We start from the raw sequence: 12,028 nt of genomic DNA, 5'->3' as shown, positions 1-12,028 counted from the left end.
CTACCTCATTAAACTATCTCCCTGATATCATCAGAAAACTTGAAAAACAAAATTTTAGGGCTCAAAATGGTCAGTGTCCAAAGCAGTTACTCTTGAGAAGAAGCTTGGAGGCGTCCGTCCCCAGCTCCATGAGCTTTCATCAGTGTCCCTATCAGCAGCACCTGAACAAGATGCTTAAAACTTCCTCATGTTTCAGTTCACTGTGTCAAGTCTCAACCAAAACTGCTTTTTTTTTCTTTTTAAATGTTTCCTTGGAAACATGAAGGGGAATAGAGGTTTTCTTCTGGAGAGCCTGAGTTCTGAGTTCTGTATTCCTATATACTTTCATAGAACACTGAGTAATCAGACTTTGTGAAATTTGCCTTACACCTGGTTCCCGGAGGTTTAAAAACAAGAACTTTCGAGCTGGGCTTATGCCTCTAATCCCAGCACTTTGGGAGGCTGAGGTGGGTGGATCACCTGAGGTCAGGAGTTCGAGACCAGCCTGGCCAACATAGTGAAACCCCCGTCTCTACTAAAAATACAAAAAATTAGCTGGGTGTGGTGGCAGGCACCTGTAATCCCAGCTACTAGGGAGGCTGAGACAGGAGAATCACTTGAACCCAGGAGGTGGAGGTCGCAGTGAGCCGAGATCGTGCTACTGCACTCCAGCCTGGGCAACAAGGGTGAAATTCTGTCTCAAAAAAAAAAAAAAAAAAAAAAAAAACCCAAGAACTTTCTTCCTGGATTACCATATGTGAAGTTAGATGTTTTATTTTTTACCTTATTCAGAATATAGAAAGTGTCAGTGCCTTAGCAGTTTGTAAATATCTTGAATCAGGTAATATTAAGTAATCTTTCTGTCAGTAACCAAGATACGAGCTGTGTTTCATCCTAAAAGAACATCCAGGTAGGAGAAACAAAAGTGTACATTTTGACAGTGGTTTATATTTTGTATACAATACAATAATATATTCTGAGGATTGTTTTTAAATATCTAAATCATCTTTCAGTAGTAATTTATTTTTAAGACCTAGTGTCATATGGATAATACTGATGTGTTTTGGAAATCTTTCTACAAGATAACTTTTGTTCAAATGAGACAATAAAATGTACTTAAATCTACTCCAAGTGACTTAGTGTTTTAGGAGATACACAACTGAGCAGTTTGTTTATATTTCTTCCTGTTTATGTTTCTTATAAATAGTGGACTTATGGTATTCTCAATATGAATAGCTCTGTATGGTAAAAATCTCAAGTTACCAGAGATTTGGGGAATTAATGGGTTTTCCTATTAAGGGCTTTGAGGGTTGGGAGGCTAACTAAACTTCCCTCTAAAATCTTCATTATTTCCTCGGTGTCTACAATATCTGAATTTCTGCTGCTGCCAAAATAAGTAAATATACAGACTGTAAGGCCAGTTTTCTTTTCTAAATAGGGAGCTCTCAGTCTGAAAATTGATCATTGCCCAGCTCAGTGCCTGGCTCAGAGTAGGCACCCATAAAATATTGGTTAAATAGATGAGTGATAAATTGTCCAGTACTACAGACAGACATGTAGAAAGTGCAAAGACTGTGAATCATTTGTTACTGATCCAGGATATCCATTGAAAGCATTTCTTAAAATCATGAATGTAACTTTGCTTATATGAATTTTCTGCTTCTTCTTACTAATGAAAAATGATATGAAGCTTCCTGATGAGTCATCTGCTACTGATTTGAGCCTCCAATGTGTAAGTGATGATTGTTCTTCACCATCCAGGAAATTATTTCTAATTCTGGGTGTGTTTGCTTTTGTTACAGCTATTGTCCAAGGAGATACTTTAGAAGATATATATAACCAATGCAAGCTTGTTATTGAAGAGCAATCTGGGCCTTTCATCTGGATTCCCTCAAAGGAAAAGTTATAAATTAGCTACTGCGCCTCTGACAACGACAGAAGAGCATTTAGAAGAACAAAATATATATAACATACTACTTGGAGGCTTTTATGTTTTTGTTGCATTTATGTTTTTGCAGTCAATGTGAATTCTTACGAATGTACAACACAAACTGTATGAAGCCATGAAGGAAACAGAGGGGCCAAAGGGTGGGACAGAAAAGACATTGCAGTATGAAGGAAGGCTTTGGTTTGCTCAAAGTGCCAGGTGTAGGGATGAACCTCTGACGGGCTTTCTGCCCAAGAGATGAGATGAGAGCCTCCTCACCCCAGCAGATGTCCAGAGCTGATTTAGCTGCAGAGCTCTCTGTGTCTTTTGCTTTAAAGAAAAATTGCCAGCACTCGAACCTCATCAGCCTTCCCATTACCCACATCTGTAATTGGTACACTTTGAATTTTATAACTATGCACATCTTTTGATTTCTTAACAAGCAAATGAAAGAAAGAAGGAAAAAAGAAAGGAATCCCTTTGGAGATGACATACTATCAGGGAAGGATAAGTGTGTAGTTTTTTGACTGGCATCTGCAAAGACAAGAATTTCATAAAATTTGCAAGTGTATGGAGGACTAACCTCACTGACAGGAGGGGATTCCACCTGGGATTAGCTTTATGATTGTTGATTGCCTATTTTGCCATTTATAAACTGAAAGAAGGCACTAAAGATGAGAATAATTTATACAATAAAAATATATTAAATGTATAGAAACAAATTTCTATAGGTTAAAAAAGTTTTGTGAAATATTTTGTAAAGACTAATATTGAAAGACTAAATGTATGCAACATCAGCAGATGATCAAATTCAAGACCTGAAAGTTGCACTCTCCCTTTTGTTGCCAATGATCTGTTAAGAGCATCTGAGTTCCTTTTAAGTCTGACAAAGACTTCTTCCTCACTTACCTCCCTTCCACATTAGTGATACACTCTCATGCAGCACATCCCTTAATGAGTTGCCCTCATGGATATTTTTGGAAGACATTTGGTTAATGCATTTTTTTATGCTGATGGCTTTTCAGAGACAAACTTATGCAAATGATCTAAAGGGAAGTTTTTGCTTTCCTCTAGTTAAATAACCTGAGCCTGCCATGCAAATAGTTGAATAACTTTGTTCCTAGTTACTGACATACAATTCTTAAAGGACCATTTAGCATTTTGGCCAACAATGAGTAATTAGGATTAGTACCTTTTTGTTTTACAGAGTAACTGAGAGTTTTGTAACATCCAGAGATGGTACTAGAGCCAATGAGAGATCTGTTCCTAGATGCACTATTTCTTTGAGGAAGAGAGAGAAGAGAAGTGTCTGGTTGGGGGTGAGGGGGTGCAGACTTTTTTGTTTCTATGTACAGAGCAAAGAGATAGAGTCACAAGGAAAGACAATTAATGACTTTGAGCTCAACCAACTGAACTGCCTTTCTTGGAGCTGCACCTGGACCAAGTTTATTTTTTAACAATTATAATAACGATGATTTAAAAAAAGAAACCTCCCAAAGCCTATAAACTGAACTAGAAGAGTTGGTTTCCCACTTTAGAGTGGATGGCGACATCAGCATTGCTTTTGCCCATGGTGTTTGGGGAGAGACTTTTCAGTGATAATAACCACTCTACTCTGGGTTCTGTGCATGCCCAGACTAAGCCCCATCGCCTTATTTCTGGGGTACATCCAGACCTGGCAGGGATTCTGCCACACTGTGCAGCAAACCAGCATGTAGGCTGGGTAGGAGAGCAAGAGATAGAGCCATCAGAGTGATGGGGCTTCTTCACAGTAAGAACATCGGAGCTTAGAATGAGAGTCTCTTTCCAAAAACAGGCATTGTTCATCTTACGCTAAACATCATTGTCTGCCTGGCTACAGTCACCAAAACAAAACAGAAATGCAAAATTATGCATCTTCCCATAGTCCTGAGGCTTCCTTTGCCAATGGAAGGGCTAGCAATGCATTCTCCCTCTCATGAAAGTTAAATTTCCAGAGACTTCCTTAGATTGCTCAAAATGTTAAAGATATGTCCATGTCTGCAATTCGCCAGTTTCAGGTCAAGGCCTACTTTCATCAATATTGCTCCCAGAAGTTTTCTGACACCAGAATGCCATTCCTGATCCCAGCTCTATTTTTAGGCCACCACGATAACTTCTTTGGTTTCTCAACTGAGCATGCAACCATTTATTTAAAAGACTGTCATTAATGAGTAGATGTTTTCGCGGGTCGTGTGATGTGCTTTCCATTTACTAGTGTTGCTGTGGCTAAGTACAATCAAATTGAACCACCAACCCTTGGTTTTGTAGTAATATAACTATTTATTTTCCTAGTGTAGATGCTTTCAGATTAGAATTGGCATTTGCACTGATTTTTTTATGTAGATTTATATAAATATATAGATACATATATATTTGCTTGAAGAATCACCAAGCAAATTGGTGAGAGGGTCTTTTCCAATAGAATTTACACCTCCATTTGTTGTGTTGTCTTGCACTTCCCAATGTTGATGTCTCTATGGCTCCAATGAACTGGTGTATTTTGCAGCAAATCTGATGACTTGTATGGAAATGGCATGAAAGTTACCCAGATTACATCTGGTGCAAATGCACTCGGAGCCTGGGGCCAGACTGGTGCTAACACTGCAAACTTTGTCCAGAGCTCTCTCCAACCTGAAGGCTTGCTGGGGGTGCAATGTCACCTTCACACATGCTGGGCCCTTTCAGAAAAGTGCCAGATCGTGTAACTGGTGCTATTTTTCATGCTCTGGTACAATGTGTAGCACCACGGGGGTCTCAGCTTTACCAAAATCAAAATTCCATTTGTCAGCTAAGTGCAGAGGCATTTGTTTTTTGCTCTCCTCCCACAGAATTGTCGGCCATTTATTTGCAGGCCTTTTGCGGGATTTCTTGGCTATTTATTTGCAGGCCTTTTTTCCCAGCCCCAAATTCTTGGGTTGGCTCTGTCTGCTTAAAGAGCCTGTCTTCACAAAGCTGCACTCGGGTGCCTCTGTGCGCTGTCTTAGATCCTACTGCCGGCCCTTCAGGACTCCGAGCCAGGAAAGAACTCTCCAACCTCTGGCTCGAGACTCTACTTTTTTTCTCATTCTTTTCCTTACTCTCCTCCTCCTTCTACTTCCGACTAATTCCATCTCTTTTTTTTTTTGTTCCTCTCCTTTTCCTATTCCTCCTTCCCACCATCTCTGAGTTGTTGACTTTCTCCTATAATCCTTCTCTATTCCCTTTCTCTTTTTGTCCACCTCTCCTTTAGTCTCTGTTTCTCTGCCCTTCTTATTCCTCTTCTGTCCTTTCTCCTCTCCTCAAATCTCTGATCATCTTCTCCCGTACATCCCTGTATTGATTTTTCTGTCCTCTAAAGGGCTCATGGCTGATTCAGACAGCAAGTCCATGCACTGGACTAATGACACAAATACTTTAGGTCGCCGTTTCACCTACTCAGCCCAGAAAGTAAAGCTGAGCGTGAGGCCCTGACCTGGAGCCTGCTCCAGCCCGCCTCCCGGAGCCAGCCTGCACCGTTGCCCTGGCAGCGATGATGCATGTGCTGTGGGCCCTGCCGGCGCCTGAGTGCCTCTGCCTGAACACTGCTCCTAAGCGAGCCCACTCCCAGCACTACCGCATGGCTCTGAGGACATTTTCTTTCAATAAAGGCAGACTCTGGCCCCAATTATTCTGATAGCAAACCTCTTCCTCCTCATTGAAGCCATGCCATCACCTTGGTTTGGAGAGAGACATTTTTTTCCCATTCATAAGCTTTCTTTTTCCCATTTTTATGTGAAGCCCCCTCTGCTTTTCAGCTGGTGATTGCTCTGGTGAGACTGAATGGACTTGCTGGTGAAATGAAATCTCTTCTTTCCTGTCTTGGTCCTGCCTAAATTCCTACAAATATATTTAAGCCAAGGACTCAGGCTAATTCCTAAGTTGATCACATTAATTTGTTACTCCTAGAGGGAAAAAGATCAATTCCCTTGAAGCATGTGGAGTACCTCCTGTGACAGCTGACTTGCCAGGGGACTCCCTACAGAATTCTGTGATATACATTTTACTTCTGTGTATGTATGGTATATATGGTATGTATACCATGTACACACGTTACATTGAGTATGAATGACTGTGGTTGGAAACACACACACACACTCAAGTCTGTAAATATCCTTCCTCACTGAAACCTGTGCTTTGGAAATCATTTCTTGTACAGCTGTGCAGTTTCTTGTAACAGCTGAGGACAAAGCTAAGACAGGCGGACAATTTAGACAAAGATCATCTAAAGAGTATAGTATCTCCCTAGCAACTCATGAGGACAGACAACCAAGTGGCAAGGTTGACTCCCAATGGGATGGCAGACTTTTCTTCTCTCCTTTTTGAGTTTGTGTTTCCTAAGTGTTTCTTAACTTCTGAGTGCACCAGGCTGTACCCGTTAGATCCTTTCAATATGACAGTTTTGTGCTTCTCTCTGACAGGATGTTTCTCCACCGAGCTGTAGCACAGGATGGGAGGGAGGTGGGAATACTCCTTGCCTAGGCTGGAGTTTACAGAGACACTGCACAGCTTACACTCCTGTTAAGTGTAAATATTCAACACTTCCATTCCATTTGTGTAAAAAATAAAGCACACACGATTATAAAATCAAGATGTATATTTCATACTCAGTGTGTCTGTGCATATTTATTGCGTTTCTAGTTGTCAGCGGTGGGTGGCCCCATTGTAAAAATGCCTGATAGAGTGTTTATAAACATGTCATGGTTTTATTATAAGATATAAATATTAAAACATTTTATACTTTATGGCAAATGATTTTCTCCCAAAGCATAATTTGTCTTATTTCATAAGGAATAGAATCACTCATGTCTATTTTTATCAATTTTGTCTCTGATTCCAGAGCTAAAATGCAATTAGGGTGGGTATGCCCTGAGAAGTATTGGCACTGCTGAGAGGAAGTGAAAGTGCTGTTTTTGCATATTCTTAAATATTTGGTTACCATCTTGCCTGCTTTTAATCGGGATTTTTCCAAAAGTGAACAATGTATTAAAAGATAGATTTTTAAAGATGCTCACAGCTATGTGAGGGGAAAAATCAATTTCCCAGTGTCAAACTGTGGGATTCCAGAAGATATTAAGGATACAGAAAAATGATTTTTTTCTTATCTGAAACATTATGCAAAGAAAGGCATAAACTGGGGAGGAGGTATCATTGTCTTATACACCCTGGAGCTCCAAAGATTTGACCATATCAAAAATGTTGGGTTTGGGAATCTGGATCTGCCAGATAATGTTCTAAATTTTTCACTTCAGGTTAAATACATGCCTTGTCATATTGACATTTAGCCAGGTTTCACAGCTAGAGAACCAAAACAAATTCTACTCATGAAAGAGATGAAATTTTGCATCAAAGCAATTGCTTTGGATTATGCTTTGTTTCATGATAAACTACCATATAACTGAATCAGCCATTTGGGAAGCCAGACTAGTTGTTCATACCATCCTGGCCATCAGGAATCTGCCAGGTGTCCTAAAGCTGTCCTTGGTGCTGGGTAGTGAACAAAGACTCTCAGACATGGTATAAGAAGACATTGACTGAGGCTGCAAGACGTGTGGACCTCAAATTTTGACAATTATGCAATTTTCAACATTTGCACAGTCTCACCTGGTTTAATATTAATGGTGACAACTGTACACAAAGCCAGATTCACTTCAATAATGGATGTGTTCATAAGAAGCTAGAAGAGCATTCAGCTTTTCTCTGTGTCCTGTTTCATGTCTGCAAAACAGTTTTTAAACCACGATCATGCTAGAAGTCTCAAAAGCTAGAAGTGGCTGACACATCTCTGAACCTAAGAGGGGCTAGTTATGAACCTGTGATCTCTGTAGATACTCTGAGGCCATACACCCAGTGACAGAATTTAAAAGCCTCACCAAGGCACAAAGCTAGGTAACATCTGTACAGGCAGCCACAGTGAGACCTGTCATCTTTAAAGTTGTCAAGGGAGGATGTGTTCTATAGATAATAACCCCAATTTCTGTTCTCTGTCACCTTTCCCTTAGGGACATCTCAGAAGGCACCATAGCTATCATTAGACTGATCCCCTTCCCTCTCTAGTGTTACAGCCAAAGCATCAAGTCCAGGCCTTGTCCCTAATGCCCCTTAGCACTCTTAGGACAAAGCTAGAAAACGTGGGTAAACTTCGCTAAAGCCTGGGGATAGCAAAAGGGAAATAAAAGATATTCTGATTTATGGTAGGAGCTTAGTGCGCAGCCCCTGGCTTGCTGACATGAAAGACACAGGCTATCTTTCCCCAGCCTCCCAGGAGTCCCTCAAGCATAGCTAGACCAGACGTCAGACCCTTTCCTCTGTTGCAGCACACCTGAGAGGCGCTGTATCCATGCTTGACTCAGCACCTGCTACATTAGGTGCCTACTGTCTCCATCACAGGCTAGAATACAAATGGAAATGACTCAGTGTGGCTTTGATTACTCCTTAATTGTAAACTTCAAAGGACAAATGATTTGCAACATGCTTCACATCTCAATATAAGGCATCAGTAGAACCTCACTGGTCTAAACTGATCAAAGCCCAAAAAGCAAGGCCCATGAGAGACACTAGTTCTCTCCCACCCGCTTAAGGCCTGTCCTTCCAGTTCTGGGTCCCTGTCTTGTGTAGACGATTGAATTAGGTAACAACTCCTCTTCAAGACTTCAGAAGGATGAGCTGTGTGAATTTTGAACAGCAGAAAACTAACATCCATACCATAAGCCAAAGATACAGAACAGGCTTCATTCTAGCAAAACATAATCGACTCTATTTCAATCTGAAAGACGAGGAAAGGAAGAAAAATACTTTCTTTTAAGCAGGCATTAAAAATTTCAAATTCTTATAGCTCTTCATAGCAAATTACAATGAACAGTTTCTTAGTAACAGAATTAGTCCCTCAGAGAGAACAGTTGATTTCTCTAACAAAAATATGAAACCAACAAGCTAAAAGGTTGGATCCTAATTGGATTGTTGGATTTTTGCAAGCCACACCTGTGTCTTTGATATCATTAGTAACCTTTCAGCAGAAATTGTGCATGCCACCATGCTCCGTCATCTGGCCCTTCTGGTATGAATAACCCTTGTGGTGAGGAACTCTCTCCACTTGGTTTCCCAACTGGTTTCTTATAACATCACTCATCCTAATTTACTTGAGCCAACAAATCTGGCTTCTAGTCTGCAGTCCTTTTCCTCAACATTTGGATAAACACTCTTGACTACCTGAAATTCTTCAGAGTAAAAAGTTATAGAGGCTGGCCCGGCGCGGTGGCTCACGCCTGTAATCCCAGCACTTTGGGAGGCCAAGGCAGGTGGATCACCTGAGGTCAGGAGTTCGAGACCAGCCTGACCAACATGGAGAAACCTTGTCTCTACTAAAAATACAAAACTAGCTGGGTGTGGTGCTGCATGCCTGTAATCCCAGCTACTTGGGAGGCTGAGGCAGGAGAATTGCTTGAACCTGGGAGGCGGAGGTTGTGGTGAGCTGAGATGGCACCATTGCACCCCAACCTGGGCAACAAGAGCAAAACTTCATCTCAAAAATCAAACAAAAAAAATTTATAGAGGCTGGATTCAAGACCAGCCTGGCCAACATCATAAAACCCCATCTCTACTAAAAATACAAAAATTAGCCAGGTGGAGTGCAACTGTAATCCCAACTATCCAGGAGGCTGAGGCAGAAGAATCGCTTGAACCTGAGAGGCAGAGACTGTAGTGAACCTAGATCGTGCCACTGCACTCTAGCCTGTGTGACAGAGCAAGACACCATCTCAAACAAACAAACAAAAAAGTTTATAGAAAATGTGCCATATATGAAACTGGGTTCAATTAATTCATTAAAACTGGGAGTATTTACCCAACATTTCATGCAAAGAAAGACTAACATGCTTAATTAAAATTACCACACAAGGAAAACATTTCCAAAAAGCTGGCTTTTTAAATTATTTATTTATCTAGTTATCATTCCTTACACATTTGGTCAGCAAACAATAAACACTTGCTAGGAGCCAGGATCTATTAAGATGGTAAAGTAGAAAATGAAATAACAAATGCTCAGAGCACTCTCTGTCTTTTCAAGGAATGTAAACCTAGTAGCAGAAACCTATTTTAAAAAGATAGTTAAAACACAGATGCTCTAAAACAGACCAGTAAGTGCATAAAGACTCCACTCCAAACAAGTGACGTTGACATCCAGAAATCAGATGTGCAGCTGCTCATTTGCTCATACCCTTGGAAGAGCCTGTATGGCAAAACTAAGTCTCTTCTGTGGTGTTCCTGAATCTGTCAGCCTCCTGATACCCCTACCCAATCCCACTGGCCACTTGAATTGTCTACCAATAACAGTTGGGATCCCACCCCATCCCTGGGGGAGAGGTGAAGATGACAGGTTAGCACAGACTAACTTGCCAGGTGAACAAAGAGTGGTAGGCAAGGTAGGCAGAAGATATGGGGAGGTTAGTCATCCAGAACCGCCATTCCTAACAAGTGGCAAGAATTATCAGGAAGCAAGAAACAACTTGGGTAATTGGTCAGGATGAAGGACAAACCAGGTACTCACAGGAGAAACTAGAGCAATGGAGAGTTTCTGTTTTCTCTGCAATACACAGACTATTCGATGCATCAAAGATCTGCTTCAAAGCAAAATGGTGCAATGAGGCCTTCTTTTCTGATATAATTTCAAGCATTACACACATTACTTAGAATCATAAGCAGGGTTTTATTCCCTTGGAAGGGGTAGTTTCCTGACCTGGATGCTTAAATCAAAAACATGCAATAGGAACTAAAGGGGAGGTTAAACTCAACTTTCAACTTTATGAGGTAAGTATGTTCCTATTTTATCAACCCAGGAAACATCTTAACAAGACTTAGAAAGAGGGGTGGTTGAAAGAGAAAAATTGATGTATTGAGCCTATAATTGCCTTGGTATTTTACAGAACAACTTCTCAGTTGTTTAGTGTCAGAGATGATCTTGACATTGAAACCCATAGATAATCTCCAAATCCATTTTTAGTTAATCACCTTACTCCCTGAAATTTTGTCCAGCATTTCAGACAAAGGTCAACACTGTCAGAAATGTGGCTCAGCACTTTCCTGGAGTGAGGGATCAATGCACAGGGATAAGTTACTGACTGTAAAAGGAAATGAGACTGAATAGTGCAACAACCCCCGGGCTACCATTATTGAAGTTGTGCATTTCACCCAATAATCTGAAGCAAGTCCACAAGAAGAGACTTCTAGTGCAGTCCCTAATGACTGGTTTGCCTGACTCCCTTATCACATTATAATGTGGTGCACAACAAAAGTATGTTCTGTGTGTCCTGGGACAGGAAAGTTCTGTTTTGTAATTATGTTCCATTGGAAACAGAGCATCACAGAGCAGGGGCAAGAGTTTGGCCTTGGTGCCAGCCTACCTTGGGAGCCTGCAGACGTTTATACCCACATTCTATGTCCCCTTCCCCTCTGTTAACTGCTCACAGAGCTCTCTGAAACACTAGAAACATCACCCAGTCCTATGTCTCCATGAATGGGCACCTCTAAATGTGATCTGGGACCAGAGGCATGAGTATCACCTGGAGCTTGTTACAATGCAGAATCTTAGGCCCTAACCATATCTACTGAATCAGATTCTGCATTTTCACAAGATTCCCCAGTGATTCCACGCATGTTAAAATCTGCAACACATGGTTTACAAAACTAAATCAACTATGAAGAAAATAGATTGGAGAGAAATATTTTTTGATAAGAGAGCCACTAACTTCAATGATGAAAACAAAACAAAACAAAAAAGCAAATAGCAGAAAAGGAGGAAAAGGAATATCTCTGATAGTAAGCAAATAGCTTGGTGGCATCATCTTTAAACTTAAAAACCCAGCCAATCTCTGACAACTCCAAGGTGGAGAGGTGGGTTGCAAAATTCTATAAAATACTTGATCAATAGACTTAAACACGGGACTGGTTATTTCCACTGTACAGACTGAGGAGGCAATCCTTGGCTTGCAATGTGAAGGATGACAAAGCGACAATACAATGTCATGAGTCACAGCACTGACCTAAGAGCAGACCTGGGTTCAAATCCTGACTCCATTCTTTACTAGTCAT

At 40.8% G+C, this 12,028-nt stretch overlaps 1 protein-coding gene across 61 annotated transcripts in view; it reads left to right on the top strand.

The window, feature by feature from the left end:
- DLG2 (discs large MAGUK scaffold protein 2) overlaps positions 1–6,694 on the top strand; it is a 2,173,362-nt gene extending 2,166,668 nt beyond the window's left edge. For 60 of the 61 annotated variants that reach the window (NR_165353.1, NM_001351274.2, XM_017017256.3 and 57 more), the window contains one exon: positions 1,782–6,694. Coding sequence is in view for 60 of the 61 variants with exons in the window: in NM_001351274.2 (NP_001338203.1) it covers positions 1,782–1,888 (107 nt within the window). In the remaining variant the exon portion in view is untranslated. The remainder of the gene's footprint in view (positions 1–1,781) is intronic. The other variant, NM_001142699.3, reaches the window with a different exon arrangement.

Source organism: Homo sapiens, chromosome 11 (genome assembly GCF_000001405.40).
Source record: "Homo sapiens chromosome 11, GRCh38.p14 Primary Assembly".
NCBI classification, from domain to species: domain Eukaryota; kingdom Metazoa; phylum Chordata; class Mammalia; order Primates; family Hominidae; genus Homo; species Homo sapiens.
The sequence above is the reverse complement of the archived record's forward strand: the minus strand, read 5'-3'. Positions and strand labels throughout refer to the sequence as shown.